The sequence below is a fragment of the Homo sapiens genome, chromosome 9, assembly GCF_000001405.40.
Source record: "Homo sapiens chromosome 9, GRCh38.p14 Primary Assembly".
Lineage (NCBI taxonomy): Eukaryota > Metazoa > Chordata > Mammalia > Primates > Hominidae > Homo > Homo sapiens.
Genome location: NC_000009.12, coordinates 2,548,481 through 2,566,382, shown reverse-complemented (window position 1 = coordinate 2,566,382; position 17,902 = coordinate 2,548,481). Strand labels below are relative to the sequence as shown.

Below are 17,902 nucleotides of genomic sequence, written 5' to 3'. Positions count from 1 at the left end.
AAAGATCTCAGCCTAGGGCCTGGACTAAACACTCAAATAGTAGTTGCTATTACTACTGAACAACCCTGCACAAACTAAATCCATAATGAAGATGCTAAACTGAGAGGAATTTATAATTAAAAAGGAAAATTAACAGTGATTAAAAACCTGACCAACTCAAATCAACAGCGGTGAGGCTCCTCCCTATGTACCGTTTCTAAAAATTTGCAGGAATTCTATTTATATGTGGGGCATGCCCAGTGGGAGCTTTCAAACATTGGCAAGTATTGCTTGGTACTAAGCCATTTTAGGAAAATATAGACTAAATCCTTGGTAAATTCAGGCAATATACTAAGTTTAATTTATTTAGTAACCCTTAGTAATTCACCAAGGATGTACCAGTAAATAGCCCCTAGCTATTCCCAAAAATAGAACTCAGTGGAATTAAATTATATTTTTAGTTCTGTTCATAGCCTACCAGTTTATATTTTGAAACTGTCTAAGCCTAACTCTTTTCTGACTGGATGATGAGCAGCCATCTGGTACATGGATTCAATGAAACCATTCATGGATTCAATCCCTATGTTATCTGCTTGATTCTCTCTTACAGTCACTGGCTGTACCTTTCGCCATACGTGGCTGTGGCAAATTTGCCCCCGAAGAAGATTAAATAGTATTACTAGTAGTTAGGTAAGCGTCAATATTTTAGCCCCACTGGAAAATATCTTTCAGTGATGAATGGTTCATCAGTAGCATCATGGTTTGTTAAGGGAAGTTCATAATCCAAGGGAGAAGGCCTGCAGAGATTACTCCCCAGTCTACCAATGGGTTATGTAAGGTCATTGGCAGTTCTTTACATAAGGGGTTAGTTTTGCAATTGTATATGTAACACTGGAAATAGCAGTCTTAAAAAAAATAGATGCTTAATTAGGAGTAGGAAGTGTGAATAGAAAGTTTCTTGTCTAAGGCCAGGTGTGGAGGCTCACGCCTGTAATCCCAGCACTTTGGGAGGCCAAAGTGGGAGGACTGCTTGAGGCCAGGAGTTTGAGACCAGCCTGAGCAACATAGCAAGACCTCATCTTTACAAAAAACTAAAAAGTAAATGGATGTGGTGGCATGAGCCTGTAGTCCTAGCTACTTCAGAAACTGAAGTAGAGGATCGCTTGAGCCCAGGAGTGCAAGGTTGCAGTGAGCTATGGTAGCCACTGTGCTCCAGCCTGGGTGAGTGTGAGACCCTGTCTCTAAACAATAAGAAAAAATAATGTGTCTTGTCTAATCTGCTGGTTGTTTGGATCCTTATCACTGTCTGAAGTCTCTTTATGAAGTTTCAAAATGAAACACAAACAGTCATTAACTTGTGAGCATGACTACAAAAGACTCCTCAAGAATGGTTACTCAGAGGCACGGCACACTGTTAATTGGTTAATTAATTGGTTAATCCAACTTGATTGGATTGAAGGATGCAAAGTATTGATCCTAGGTGTGTCTGTTGAGGGTGTTGCCAAAGGAGATTAACATTTGAGTCAGTGGGCTGGGAAAGGCAGACCCACCCTTAATCTTGGTGGGCACAATGTAATCAGCTCCCAGCACAGCCAGAGTAAAAAGCAGGCAGAAGAACATGAAAAGACTATACTGGCTTAGCCTTCCAGCCTACATCTTTCTCCTGTGCTGAATGCCTCCTGATCTTGAACATCAGATTTCAAGTTCTTCAGCTTTGGGACTCGGACTGGCTTCCTTGCTCCTCAGCTTACAGATGGCATATTATGGGACCTTGTGATCATGTGAGTTAATGCTCCTTAATAAACTCCCATATATATATATCCTATTAGTTCTGTGCAACTGGAGAACCCTGACTAATACAACAGTTAATGCTAATTGTATTTTCTTTTTCAGACATTCAATAGATTTTTAACAGACTTCTTTTGAGAAGTTTTATGTTCACAGCAAAATTGATTAGATGGTACAGAGATTTCTGATATGCCCCTATTCCCACACATGAATAGCCTCACCCATTATCAACATCCCTCATCAGAGTAGCACATTTGTTACAGTGGATGAACCTACATCATTATCACCCAGAGTCCATAGTTTACCTTTGGGTTGACTCTTGGTGTTGTACATTCTATGGTTTTGGACAAATGTATAACATGTATTCATCATCAGAATATCATATAGGGCAGTTTCCCTGCCCTAAAAATCTTCTGTGCTCGACCTATTTATCTCCCCTAGCTTTTTGAAACAACTGATCTTTTTACTGTCTATAGTTTCACTTTTTCCAGAATATAATATAGTTGAAATCATACAGTATATAGTCTGTTCAGATTGGCTTCTTTCACTTATTAATATTCATTTAAGTTTCTTTCATGTCATTTCATAGTTTGATAACTCATTTATTTTTAGTGCTGAATAATATTCCATTGTCTGATTTAGGACAGTTTATCCATTCACCCACTGAAGGATATCTTGGTAGCTTCCAAGTTTTGCAAATTGTGCATTAAGCTGCTATCAATATCCATGTGCGTGTTTTATGTTGACATAAGTGTTCACTTCCTTTGGGTAAATATCATGGACATGATTGCTGGATCTTATGGTCATATGATTAGTTTTTTAAGAAACTTCCAAATTGTCTTTCAAAGTGGATGTATTTTGAATTCCCACCAGCAATAAATGAGAGCTCTTGTTGCTCTACATCTTTGCCAGCATTTGGTGGTGTCAGTGTTCTTGATTTTGGCCATTCTAATAGGTGTGGAGAGGTATCTCATTTTCCTTTTCATTTTATTGATGGCACAGGATGTAGAGCATCTTTTCCTATGCTTATTTTGCCATCTGTATATCTTCTTTGATAAGGCATTTTTTAAAGTATTTAAACCTTTTTCTTTGTTTTTTGAGACAGTTTCGTTCTTGTTGCCCAGGCTGGAGTGCAATGGTGTGATCTCGGCTCACCTCAACCTCCACCTCCTGGATTCAAGTGATTCTTCAGCCTCAGCCTCCTGAGTAGTGGGGATTACAGGCAGGCACCACCACGCCTGGCTAATTTTGTACTTTTAGTAGAGATGGGGTTTCTCCATGTTGATCAGGCTGGTCTTGAACTCCTGACCTCAGATGATCCACCCACCTTGGCCTCCCAAAGTGCTGGGATTACAGGCATGAGCCACCACACCCGGCCATATTTAGTCCTTTTAAATTTTTAATTTTTGTGGGCATATAGTAGGTATATATAATTATAGGCAGTACATGAGATGTTTTGGTATAGATATGCAGTGCATAATCACATCATGGTAAACAAGATATCCATTACCACAAGCATTTACCCTTTGAGTTACAAACAATCCAATTATATTCTTTCAGTTATTTTAAAATGTAGTCAAATTATTATTGACTAGTCCCCCTATTGTACTATCAAATATTGGATATTATTCATTCTAACTATTTTTTTGTACCCGTTAACCAACCCCAGTACCCCCCGTCACTACCCTTCACAGCCTCTGGTAACCATCATTCTATTCTCTATCTCCATGAGTTCAATTGTTTTAATTTTAAGCTCCCACAAATAAGTGGGGACATGCAAAGTTTGTCTTTCTGTGCCTGGCTTTTTTCACTTTACATAATGACCTCAAGTTCCATCTATGTTGTTGCAAATGATAGGATCTCATGATTTTTTTATGGCTGAATAGCACTCCATTGTGTATATGTGCCACATTTTTTAAATCCATTCATCTGTTGATGGACACTGAGCTCGCTTCCAAGTCTTGGCTATTGTGAGTAGTGCTGCAATAAACATAGGACTGCAAATAGCTCTTTAATATATTGATTTCCTTTCTTTTGGATATATACATAGCAGTGGGATTGTTGGATCATATGCTATCTCTATTTTAGTTTAATTTAATTTAATTTAGTTTTAGGGGTACATGTGCAAGTTGGTTCTATGGATAAATTGCATGTCATGGGGGTTTGGTGTACATGGTATGTTGTCACCAAGATAATAAGCATAGTACCTGATAGGCAGTTTTTCTGTCCTCAGCTACCTCCCACCCTCCACCCTCAAGTAGGCCCCAATGACTGCATAAACAAACTAACAAACAAGCAAAGAGAAAATTAATTTTAAAAAACCTATGCTTTAACTTCGTCCTTCTGCTTTTTAACTTTTTGTTGTTTCAATTTATGTTTTATTGTATTGCCTATGTCTTGAAAAGTTGTTGTAATTCTATTTTATCATTTCATCTTTTAGTCTTTTTACTTAAGACATGAGTAGTTCGCACACCACAATTACAGTGCTAGAATATTCTGTGTTTTATTCTGCACTTACTAATACCAGTGATTCTGTATCTTCAGGTGATTTCCTATTGCTTGTTAACATCCTTTGCTTTCTGACGGAAGAACTCCCCTTAGCATTTCTTGTGGGACAGGTCTGGTGTTGATGGAATCCCTGAGGTTTTTTTTTTGTCTGGGAAAGTCTTTATTTCTCCTTCATGATGGAAAGGTATTTTTGCTGGATAAACTATTCTAGGGTAACATAGAACTTTTTTTTCCTTCAGCACTTAAAATATGTCATGCTACTCTCTCCTGGCCTGTAAGGTTTCCACTGAAAAGTCTGCTGCCAGCCATATTGGAGGTCCATTGTATGTTATTTGTTTCTCTTCTCTTGCTGCTTTTAGGATCCTTTCTTTGTCCTTGACCTTTGGAAGTTTGATTATTAAATGACTTAAGGTAATCTTTTTTGGGTTAAATCTGCTTAGTGTTCTATAACCTTCCTGTACTTGAATATTGATATCTTTCTCTAGTTTTGGGAAGTTTTTTGTTATTATCTCTGAATGAACTTTTTACCCATATCTCACTCTCTACCTCCCTTTTAAGGCCAGTAACTCTTAGATTTGCCCTTTTGATGCTACTTTCTAGATTTTGTAGGCCTGCTTCATTGTTTTTTTATTCTTTTTTCTTTTGTCTCCTCTGTATTTTCAAATAGTCTGTCTTCAAGCTCACTAATTCTTTCTTCTGCTTGGTAATTTCTGCTACCAAGAGACTCTCATGCATTCTTCAGTATATCAATTGCATTTTTCAGCTTCAGAATGTCTGATTCTTTTTAATTATTTCAGTCTCTGTTAAATTTATCCGATAGCATACTGAAATCCTTGTCTGTGATCCTCAACACAGCTATTTTGAATTATCTGTCTGAAAGGTCACATATTTGGCTCTCCAGGATTGGTCCCTGGTGTCTTATTTAGTTCATTTGGTGAGATCATGTTTTCCTGGATGGTCTTGATGTTTATAGATGTTTGCTGGTGTCTGGGCATTGGAGAGTTAGGTATTTATTGTAGTCTTTGCAGTCTTGGCTTTTTTTATACCCATCCTTCTGGAGAAGGCTTTTCAGATATTCAAAGGGACTTGGGTATTGTTATCTATGTTTTTGGCCACCGCAGCCATGTCTGCATTGGGGGTGCACCACGCGTCCAGTAACGCTGTGGCTCTTGCAGCCTTGTAGAGGTACTGCCGTGGTGGTCTTCGATAGGATCCAGAAGAATTCTCTGGATTACCAGGCAGAGACTCTTACTCTCTTCTCTTACTTTCTCCCAAACAGAGTCTTTCTCTCTTTCTGTGCAGAGCTGCCTGGAGCTGGGGGAGGGGTGACACAATCATCCTTATGACGACCACTAGGACTGTACTGAGGCAGACCTGAAGCCAGCACAGCACTAGTCTCACCCAAGGCTCACTATAACCACTACATGGCTACTGCCTATGTTCACTCAAGACCTTAGGGCTCTACGATCAGCAGGTGGCAAAGCCAGCCAGGCTTTTGTTCTTCCCTTCAGGGTGATGAGTTCCCCTTGGTCCTAGGTAGGTCCAGAGGTGCCATTTGGGAGCAGGGCCTGGAATCAGAAACCTTAGGAATCTAGCTGGTGCTCTGTTCTACTGCAGCTAAGCTGTCACCCAAGCAACAAGAAAAAGTCCTTCCCACTTTTATCTACCCTTTCCACAAACAGAGGAGTCTGTCCCCATGGCCACCACTGCTCCAGACACATGGGAAGCACTGCCTGGCTACTGTCAATGTTTACTCAAGGCTCAGGAGCCCTTCAGTTGGCTTGTGGTGAATGCTGCCACTCCTGGGACTCTTCCTTCAGGGAAGGGGGCTTCCCTTTGGCCCAGAGCAGGTCAGAAATTCTGTCTAAGAGCCAAGGCCAAGGATGTCCCTTAGCCTCAGGGACCCTAAGATCCTGCTTGGTACCTTCTGTGGCCAAGCTGGTACCTAGGCTGCAAGACAAAGTCCCCTTTACTCTTTCTTCTGCTTTTCTCTATCAGAAGGAGGCTCTCCTTGTAGCCACCACAACTGGTCCATCTTAGAGTTAAACACTAGACCCATGGCAGGTACTGCCTGGCTACTGCTGCTGATTATTCAGGGCCCATGGGCTCTGTAGTCAGCAGGTGATGAATCCAATCAGGATTGTGTCCCTCCCCTCAACGCAACAGATTCCCTTCTGGCCCAGGATATGTCTAGAAATGTCATCTTAGAGCTAGGGCCTGGAATGGGTGCCTCAGGACTCTGGGCAGTGCCCTATTCTATTGTGGCTGAGCTGGTATCCAAGCTGTAAGACAAAGTCTTCTTTATTCTTCCCTCTCCTCCCCACAAACAGAAGGAAAGAGTCTCTTTCAGAGGCTGCAAGCTGCACTGTGCAGGGTTGAGGGAGAGATAGCACAGACACTTTCTTGGCTGCCCCAGATGGTATTGCACTTAGTCACATGCTTCCCAAGTCCACTGGCTCTGAGCCCAGCACAGCATTAGGATTTGCCTAGGAGTTGCTGTTCTTGTGGCCTAGACTGCATTTCACTGTTATTTAGGACCCCAGAACACTTTAGCCTGCGATGGTGAGGCTTGCTGGAACTTGAGTTTTGACCATTGAGATGGACAATTTTTTTCTAGCTAGGGGTGGTCTAAACGTTCCCTCTGTGGACGTCAGCTGAGTTCTTCCCAGTGTTGCTTCCCACTGTAACAGGGCAGCACTGAATTCCAATGTAAATTCCCTAAATTACTGTGCTCTCCCTCCTCCAACACACATATTCTCTTTTTGTGCTACACGGCTGCTGCCAGGGGGTGTGGGAGGGGTGGCATTGGCAGTTCAAGACTGTCTTTCCTATCCTCTTCAGTGCCTCTTTCAATGATATGAAGTTCAAGCCAGGTACTGTGATTGCTCACCTGATTTTGTTCTTATGAAGGTGCTTTTTTTGTGGAGATTGTTGTTAAATTTTGTGTTCCTTTAGAGGTCAATTGGTGGAGCCTTCTATTTGTAGATCTTGCTCTACCTCTCTAGACAATTTTTTAGTTAGGTTGTTTATTTTCTTATGGTTGAGTTTTAAGAGTTTTTTGTATATTTCAGATAATAGTTCTTTATCACATTTGTCTTTTCAAATATTTTCTCCCAGTCTGTGTCTTGCCATTTCATTTTCTTGACAATGTCCTTCATAGAGCAGCAAGTTATAGTTTTAATGAAGTCTAGCTTATTAATTATTTCCTTCACAGTTCACGCCTTTGGTGTTGTATCTAAAAACTCATCTAAAAAACCAATGTTGTCTAGATTTTCTCCTATGTTATCTTCTAAAGATTTTATAGTTTTACATTTAAGTTTATAACCTATTCACGTTAATTTTTCTGATGGGAGTAAGGTCTGTTTCTAGTTTTGTTTTGTATTGTTTTGTTTTGCATGTGGATGTCCAGTTGTTATAGCACAACTTATTGAAAGACTATCTTTTCTTCCTTGTAATAGCCTTTCTTCCTTTGTGGTCTATCTTCGTGAATTTTCCATGTGAGATTGGCGGGAGTGTACATTCTGCTGTACTGGATAAAGTATTCCATAGATGCCCATTATTTCCATTTAATTGATGGTATCGTTGAGTTCAGCTATACCCTTACTGATTTTCTGCCTGCTAGATCTGTTCATTCCTGATACAAGAGTGTTGAAGTCTTTAACTACAATAGTGGATGAATCTATTTCTCCTTACAGCTCTATCAGTTTTTGCCGCACATATTTTGACACTCTGTTGTTAGGTACATACATATAAGGATTATTATGTTTTTTTGGTGAATTTACTCCTTTATCATTATGTAATACATTTTTTATCCCTAATAATTTTCTTTGCTCTAAAGTCTGCTCTGTCTGAAATTGATATAGTGAATCTCACTTTCTTTTGATTAGTGTAAGCATGTTATATCTTTCTTCATCCATTTACTTTTAATTTACATGCATCTTTATATTTAAAGTGAGTTTTTTCCAAGATGAAATATTTGAAATACCAGATAAAGAAATCAAAAGGTTGATTGTTAAGTTACTCAAGAAAATGCAAGAGAAAGGTAAAAACCAACATAAAGAAATTTAAAAAACAATTCAGGATGTGAATGAAAAAATTTTCTAAAGAGATAGATATTTTAAAGAAATACCAATCAAAATTTCTGGAAATGAAAGACACCTTTAAAGAATTACAAAATGCAGTGGAAAGTGTTAACAGCAGACTAGACCAAGTAGAAGAGAGAATTTCAGAGCTTGAAGACAAGGCTTTTGAATTAAACCAATCAGACAAAAATAAACAAAAAAAAGAAATGAACAAAGTTTCCAAAAAATATGGAATTATGTAAAATGGCCAAACCTAAGAATAATTAGCGTTCATGAAGGGAAAGAAAAAGCAAAAATTTGGAAAACCTATCTGAGGGAACAATTGAAGAAAACTTTCCTTGTTTTGCTAGAGATTTATACATCCAAATACAAGAAGCTCAAAGAACTTCTGAGAGATTCATTGCAAAAAGATAACACCAAGGTGTATAGTCATCAGGCGATCTAAAGTCAACACAAAGGAAATAATTTTATTTTTAAACTTTTAAGTTCTGGATACATGTGCAGGATGTACAGGTCTATTACATAGGTAACCATGTGTCATGGTTGGTTGTTGAACAGATTATTTCATCACCAGGTATTGAACCTAGTATCCATTAGTTATTTTTCCTGATCCCCTCTTTCCTCCATTCCCACGTCTGATAGGCCCCAGTGTATGTTGTTTCCCTCTATGTGTCCCTGTGTTCTCATTGCGCAGCTCCCACTTATAAGTGACAACATGCGATATTTGGTTTTCTGTTCCTCTGTTAGTTTGCTAAGGAATAATGCCTCCAGCTCCATCCATGTCCCCTGCAAAGGACATGATCTCATTCTTTTTTATGGCTGCATAGTATTCCATGAGGTATATGTACCACATTTTCTTTATCCAGTCTATCATTAATGGGCATTTGGGTTGATTCTATTTCTTTGTTATTGTGAATAGTAATGCAATGAACATACATATGCATATGTCTTTATAATAGAATGATTTATATTCCTTTGGGTATATACCCAGTGATGGGATTGCTGGGTCAGATGATATTTCTGTCTTTAGGTCTTTGAGGAATCGCTACTCTTTCACAATGGTTGAACTAATTTACATTACCACCAAGAGTGGAAAAGCATTCCTATTTCTCTACAACCTCACCAGCATCTATTATTTTTGGACTTTTTAATAATAGCCATTCTGATTTGTGTGTGATAGTATCTCATTGTGGTTTCAATTTGCATTTCTCTAATGATCAGTGATGCTGAGCTTCTTTTCATATGCTTGCTGCTGTATGCATGTCTTCTTTTTGAAAAGTGTCTATGTTCTTTGCCTACTTTTTAATGGGGTTGTTTTTTCTTATAAATTTGTTTAAGTTCCTTATAGATGCAGGATATTAGACCTTTGTCAGATGCATAGTTGTTGGGAAAAGCTGAGTGTTGGGAGAAGCTGAGGCAGGGCTTGCATGTCTGACATAATGTAAAAGAGTCTTGGAACATGTCCGGGGTCCAGGGTCTAAAACACCTTGTGGCCTTTGGAACACCAAGCTCTGTGCTAAAGGGTGGAAGGCTACCCTGACTCACCATAATCTAAGCCCAGGGCATAAAATCCCTTGTGGCTTGGATAGAATCCAGGGCTTGTGGCTCTGGAATGTGTCTAGACTTGCTGGCTCCTTGCCCCTTGCTCTCCTGGGATCAATTGTATCTTTAGTTAAAAGAACCTCCTCTCCATTATCTCAAGTAGCAGAGCAAATGCTAAACCGTCACATGCTAAATCATGTGCTTAATGCAACACGCCCTTTTGACCCCCACATTCTCACCACCTGTTTCTTTGTTGGATTACCAATAAATAGGGTGGGCTCCCAGAGCTCAGGGCCTTCACAGCCTCCACAATCACGATGGCCCTTTGGTCCCACTTTACTTCTCAAACTGTCTTTTTCTCAATCCTTTGACTCCACCAGACTTCGCCGCCCCCACGACCTGGTGTTGGGTCTGATCACCCCAACACATAGTTTGCAAAAATTTTTTCCCATTCTGTAGGTTATCTGTTTCCTCTATTGATAGTTTCATTTGCTGTGCAGAAGCTCTTTAGTTTAATTAGATTCCATTTGTCAATTTTTGCTTTTGTTGCAATTGCTGTTGGTGTTATCATGAAATATTTGCTCATGCCCATGTCCTGGATGGTATTGCCTAGGTTGTCTTCCAGGGTTTTTATAGTTTTAGGTTTTATATTTAAGTCTTTAATCCATCTTGGGTTAATTTTTTTATGTGGTGTAAGGAAAGGGTCCAGTTTCAATTTTCTGCTAATGGCTAAGCCAGTTCTTCCAGCACCATTTATTGAATAGGAAATTCTTTCCCCATTGCTTGTTTTTGACAGGTTTATCAAAGATCAGATAGTTGTGGGTGTGCAGTCTTATTTCTGGGTTCTCTATTCTGTTCCAGTGGTCTATGTGTCTATTCTTGTACCAGTACTATGCTGTTTTGATTACTGTAACCCTGTAGTATAGTTTGACGTTGAGTAGTGTGATGCCTCCAGCTTTTTTTTTTTTTTTCCTTAGGATTACCTTGACTATTTGGGCTCTTCTTTTGTTCCATATGAATTTTAAAACAGTTTTGGGCCAGGTGCGGTGGCTCACACCTGTAATTCCAGCACTTTGGGAGGCCAAGGCGGGCAGATCACTTAAGGCCAGGAGTTTGAGACCAGCTTGGCCAACACAGTGACACCCCATCTCTACTAAAAATACAAAAGTTAGCTGGGCATGGTGGTGCACACCTGTAATCCCAGCTGCTTGGAAGGCTGAGGCACAAGAATCACTTGAACCCAGAAGGTGGAGGTTGCAGTGAGCCGAGATTGTTCTACTGCACTCCAGCCTGGGTGGCAGAGTGAGACTCTGTCTCAAAAACAAAAAAAAGGTTTTTCTAGTTCTCTGAAGAATGTCAATGGTAGTTTAATGGGAATAGAATTGAATCTATAAATTGCTTTGGGCAGTACGGCCATTTTAACAATATTGACTCTTCCTATCCGTGAGCACGAGAAATTTTTTCATTTGTTTGTGTCATCTCTGATTTCTTTGAGCCATGGTTTGTAGTTTTCCTTGTAGAGATCGTTCACTTCCCTTGTTAGCTGTATTACCAGGTATTTGATTTATTTGTGGCAATTGTGATCTCACTTCTTTTTCAAACTTAAGAAGAGTTTTTGATGTTTTAGTTTGTTCAGCTTAATGTTTGTTAAGGTGGAATAGCAACTTCCAAGCTCCATACATGTAGGCCTGGAGTCCAAAAGTCTCCAATAGAGTTTTAAAAATTCCTATGGATGGTTCTTGCACAAAATACTCCACAGTAAACTCTGGTCTTTTCTTTCTTCTGATGCTCTGTTGGCAACCTCTCTTTGGTCTGTGAGAATTTTGGCAATGCCCTCTTTCTTAGTTCTTTTCCTGTCTCTTCATTTTTTTCTAGTTCGGCCTCTTCCTGGAGATCTTCTTCCTTTGCTCTTCATCTTTCCCCAATTAATTTTTTATTATCCTGCATTTCTGTCTATGCAGATGCCTGGTAAACCCATCCCAACTTCTATTAAGATAAAGTGAAAATGCGCTGTCAATATCTATCTTTTTCTCTGGGTCAGAAATGATTAGATAATGGATCATTGAGAATTTTAAAAAGATATAAATAAATGTATTTGTGGGTTTACAGTTCTTGTTTACTTAGCTTAGTTTGTAAAACAATATATTTTTTCATTATACAGGAAACATCTGTCTGTTGTAGGAAGTTTGGCAAAATAAAGAAATCTAATAAATAAAAACATAAGTACCATAACCCTACTGCCCATACATAACCACTGTTAATATTTTGCTATATTTCTTTCCCATCTTCTTCACACATTTATTAAGCATACATATACATACATAATTTATCTGTTTAAAAGTTACTTTATGCTAATAGTTTATACATATAGAGCATTTATTAGATACTGTGCTAAGCATTTTATGTACATTATTTAATTTAATCTTCACTATAATCGAATGTGATATAACCTACATTATTTCCATGCTAGAGATGCTGAAATAGAGCCCAGAGAATGAAATTATTTGACCAAGTTAATTAAGGACGACAAGAGTCCATGATATTTATCCTATGCTAATTTGGTCACCATATTTGTTTTATTAATAATAGATCTTAATATTTAAATTGAATTTATTAGTGATTAGAGGATTATTTTAAACCTAATGAGTTATTAGCTTTTAAATAAATAAGTTAATGTGTATTAATTATAGCTCAAAATATTTAAATTTATAATTCTTAACAGAGTACCTTTCTTGCCTCTACTAAATGAGGCAGAGAATTACTACCCATGCGAAAGGCCACAAACTGAACTCCATCCTTGTCTTTAACCTTGTTTCTCCTTCCTTCTTTACTATTCAACTAAACTGATGGATTTGTCACATGAAAAAAGGAGGAAGAGAAATTGTCTCATGAACCCACAAATGATTCACATTCAATCTCCCCATCTCCTGCCTCCCTCTGAAACCCTGGTAAAGTGATCACACACTGAGCACTATTAAATCCATTGCTTTATTTCTCATCCTACCCTCCTAGTATTTTCCCAATGGAATCACTCATGAAATAGGCAGAAGTTAAAGTTCTCAGCTGATTTAACAATGTCCAACAAAATTATGATTTCCATTATGATATGATGACGATTAATGTATATAGATATTTTATTGTTTATTCTGAGTGCTACATTTTATCAGTATATAGCATATGTTTTTCTTATATCAATGACTTATGTCTCATAAAATAACAGTCAACAAGACTATTAGAAGTTCTACCACACCCCCATCTAAAAATATTTGGGTGAGAAAATGTTTATCTGGGATCGTTATATATGTGCATATGTGCATTTTTATAACCTGCTTTCCCATGTAATGTTTTAGCAACTTATACTTTTTTTTTTCTTTTTTTTGAGACGGAGTCTCGCTCAATTGCCCAGGCTGGAGTGCAGTGGCACAGTCTTGGCTCACTGCAAGCTCCCCCTCCAGGGTTCACGCCATTCTCCTGCCTCAGCCTCCCGAGTAGCTGGGACTACAGGTGCCCGCCACGACGCCTGGATAATTTTTTTGTATTTTCAGTAGAGACAGGGTTTCACCGTGTTAGCCAGGATGGTCTCGATCTCCTGACCTCGTGATCTGCCTGCCTCGGTCTCCCAAAGTGCTGGGATTACAGGCGTGAGCCACCGCGCCCGGCCTAGTAACTTATACTTTTTAAAGAGCTGCATAATTCTTGATCTCTTAGGTATGTTTATATTGTTTATGAGTATGTAATTTGTATCTATCTTGTAGATGAGCTTCAGGGAGCACTGCCACAGAATTTCCTCAAACGATGATGATTTGTTTACTAGATTTTCTGTAATATGTCAATACTGCTGCTTTTTACTAAGAAAGCAGAAAAAATAACCATCCAAAAGAGTATTCTTGCAGAACCTGATTTCAAATGCTGAATAACAAGTTTAATTTAGAATCATAAGAATTTATGTTCTAAGGAATATGAGATATAAGATTATTTCTTTCAGTCCCTTCATTTTATGGATGAGGAAACTGAAATGATGGCTTGCCTAAGGTCACCGGCTAGAAGTGAAGTATCCTGCCTAGAAACAACTAAGCCTTCTGTAATATCTTAAAATAGAGGGCATTTATTTACTGTACTATTCCTCACATTTTTTTTGGATTTAGAGAAACTATCTGGAAGATGGAACACTTCACTAAATTAATGGTCTCCGAAACTGAATTTCTCACCCACCTCCTCCCTGCTGCCTTCCACAAATTCTGCAACCAGGAGTGTGCAAGGTGACCCAATGGTTAAAATTCTGAACTACTTTTAGACTTTCAAAAAAAATTGCAGAAACAGTACAGAGAGTTTCTATATGTCCTTGTGCCACTCCATTGTTAACATCTTACATACCATAGTATAATTATCACAACAAGGAAATTAATATTTGTACAGTACCATAAACTAAAGATTTCAGTTGAACTTCACTTTGAAGGTTCCCATTCATGTCTCTTTGTTGTTGTTGTTTCCAATATGCCACTCAGGATTCCATGTGGCATTTAGTTGTTATTTCTCTCTGGTCTCCTGTCGTGTGCAACAGCTTCTCCATCTTTCCTTGTCTTTCATGATTCTGACAACTGGAACGGTACTGATCTGTTATTTTGCTGCACATCAGTTCATCAGTTTGGGCCATTTGGAATCTTCTCATGATTGAAGTGAGATTATGCATCCCTGTCAAGACTACCATAGAAATGGTGCCTCATCCTTCTAGGTGCATCAAATCATGGCCTTCATGATGTCAGCATGTATTGTTATTGGTGATACTGGTATTGATCACCTGGTGGAAATGGTCACCACTAGACTTTTCCACTATAAAGTTGCTATTCAAATGGCCAAAGATGGAAAAAATTAAGCCACAAAATACATAATGATAGTACTGGATTGTAGTCTATAAAATAATATAAATATGAACCATGAGTTCATAGGGACACAAATAAATAATTGGTTGAATAGATATAGTCACTTCTCATTATTCATGGTAATTGTGTTTTATAAAGTCACTATGAACACTGAATTAGCGAACACTGACCCATTGCTCTTAAGGGAAACATAGGTTTAGATTTCTGTGAGCTATTGTCAACTAATCAATAGATAATCTTGCTTCATGTGTGTTTCTGTTTAAAAACACCTTATTTAATATTTTTTGTTGATTCGTTAACATTGAACTCACCACCAACAGCGCCATAACCCATGCCTGAATGAAGCTTCTCTAATGGATGTTATTTTCCTTGGCAGGCCTGTCATAGCCTTCTTGCACTTAGGAATACGAGTCAGCACATCAGCATTATGCTTGAGGGCATTTTAAACAGCAAAATGACCAACAAAACGCACAAAAATATGAAAAATATGGCACTCGATAGACTGCAAAAAGGGCACTTGTTTACAGGATGAGAGCTGAAACAAAGGCAGAGTATCACCTTGTTTGATTTCAGCTGGGAACATGCACATTGAGTTCTCAAATTTTTGCTGTTCTGCACACATCTGTGAATGACCGAGAAAATGACATGAGTATTGATTTTCGAGTTACAAATAAATTTTAGCAAGCAGGTGAATTCTCAAATATGTAATCCATGAGAATAAAGATTGATTGCATATGGAGAAGTGGCAGCTCTCTTTTTTTTGCATAGAATTTCAATTAATAAATGTGGAACGAATGAGAGAAAACTACCCCAGGCCACCTCCACAGTGGTGATTGTTGTAGATGGATCCACCAATGTATGCCAGATGCAGTGGGCAAAGGTTTGAGGAACAAAGAAATTTGCATAGTCTCAAAGTGTCTCCCTCAAGATATTTGTTGACTACAGGGAGAAATACAGTAAATTTATGTTTATTGTAAATTTAATAAGGTGTAAGTTCTTTATTTTTTCTAGCATTTATATAGCATTAGCAGATGTTGACTAGCAAATACAGATAAATAGGTGGCATGTGCTCAAATTCTTGATAATAAGGGAGCCTCCATTTTTTTTATTTTTTTTTATTATCTTCTCTGGATAATCAGCTAGTGTTCAGCCAAAGCTGTTAATTTATGTATAATAGGAGAAAAGGCAAAGAAGTTGCTATTTTATCAAGGGTAGACTTGGGACTCTTAAGAACCACTTGCTTCTGTGAAATCATCCCAGGTAGAGCACTTGGTCTTCAGTGTCCCACTATGCCTATTTGAATAGCCTGGAAATATTTTCACACTATAGAGTTGGTTGTGCACATGCTTTCTCCTGCACGTGGTGCTTCCTGAGTGCAGGGGCTGCCTCTTTCATCTTTATATCTCCAGTAACAAGTACATTGACTCACATGGGTGTACTCAGTAAATGTTCATTGGGAATGGGATGGCATAGATGGGATGGGATGATACCCTGGGTCTGTTGGGCAACCCCCTCTCCATATTTTTTCCAGATGCATTTTTGTTCTTGCTGTATTTCTGGCAATGTTTCTTGCTAATGCTTATCTTCTGCCAATGATGAAAACAAGCAAACCCTCTGTAGTATTTAAAGGTACATGAAAATGAAGACAGGCCTCTTTAAGTACATTTGGTTCAAGGGAATTTTCTTATTCCATAAGTCTAAGTTCAGCTGTGACCTTAAGTGCTTTATTCACACACTTGCCTTTATCCCAATAACAGTGGTACTGCTGTCTCCGGAGGCAAAACAGATTGATGGCAGCATTAGTTAGAGATTTTATAAATCCGCTGAATGGAAAAAGCTTCCAGTTCCAGGGTTGTTTCTGAGCATTTGTGGTTTCAGGTTGAAACAAATGTATTAGTCAGGGTAGACAACTGATGTAACAAACAGTTCCAAAATTCCAGAGGCATAACATACCTATTTTCTTGTGTCTGAACGGTCCAGTGTAGGTGTTCCCAGTCGGGCAGTTTCTATCTTGGCAGAGTTTCACGGACTCGGGCTTCTTCCATTCCATGGCTCTACCTTCCACCAGGTGCCCATGGTCTTCTTTCTTCAGCTGGTAGGTTTTATGGGCCAGGTCGAGAAGTAGTTTCTTGCCTTCTGCCCACATTCCTATGGATGTAAACGGATCACATTTCCACACCTAAATGCAGGGCATGCCGGGAATATTGTCTAACTGCATTTCCAGGTGAGAAAGGAGATATTGTTTGGTGAACAACTAGCCAGTCTCTGTCCACACAACTCAGTCTGGCATCTGTCCTCTCAGTTCTCATGTCAGTTGTTTTACTTATTCTTCTTAAGACATTAACACTTTCTTCATTGTATTCATTCATTAAAATTCATTAACATCATGATGGGCTTCCACAGCATGCCAATTGATGGGAGTTATAAAGAAAAATCAGGTGCAGGGCCTGCCCTTGAACTCAATCTAGTTCAACCTTGTTTAGCTGTCACTGTATTTGGAAGTCCTGAAGTACTTGTTTTTAATTCAATCATCCAAAAAGAAAATAATATTATTGTATGACTACCAATCCTACAAATTAAGTAATCTACTTAGATGTCCAAGTTTTTCCCAAATACTTATTTGCTTCTAGTTCAGTTATTTATTTTGCCTTTTTGTAGTCTTTCTGGAAACAAGTAGAGGCAAATATCTAAGATTTAAAGAAAATATACAGGGACAAAACTTTAAATGTTGTCCCTAAATTTAATTCTTCTTGAAAATTTGGAAAAGGGTATTATTTAGTCTCAGTAGAAAATTAGAGAACAAAGAACCACTGGTCTAGTTTCTAGTCATCTGTGGACATGGTACTCCTGTTAGTGTGTAAGCAATGCAAATTTAGGGAACTTATCTAACAAAATATTTTTTTTCTCTACCCCCCGAAACTCTATCCTTATTCACCTAACTCATCAAATCTTTTTAAAAATTATTGCTTTTATAATTTTGAAAGTTTATTCATTGTAGCAAAGGTTGAAAATATGGGTAAGCAAAAAGATAAAAATTAGAAATGTTCGTTATCCTACTTCCCATAGATAAATCCTGTTAAATCGATATGTGCATTTGCAGCCTTTTTCTGCATATATTTGTGG

At 38.3% G+C, this 17,902-nt stretch overlaps 1 long non-coding RNA gene across 1 annotated transcript in view, besides 1 other annotated feature; it reads left to right on the top strand.

Annotated features, from left to right (window-relative positions):
- The window catches only part of VLDLR-AS1 (VLDLR antisense RNA 1), an 86,722-nt gene that overhangs the window by 55,991 nt on the left and 12,829 nt on the right, over window positions 1–17,902 (top strand). The window lies entirely within an intron of this gene.
- Window positions 16,889–17,390: an enhancer, noted in NCBI's record as "NANOG hESC enhancer chr9:2548993-2549494 (GRCh37/hg19 assembly coordinates)". NCBI's record gives its function as "activates a minimal SCP1, AML or CMV promoter by ChIP-STARR-seq in primed H9 embryonic stem cells {active_cell/tissue: H9 hESC(primed)}" and the evidence as "EXISTENCE:reporter gene assay evidence [ECO:0000049][PMID:30033119]".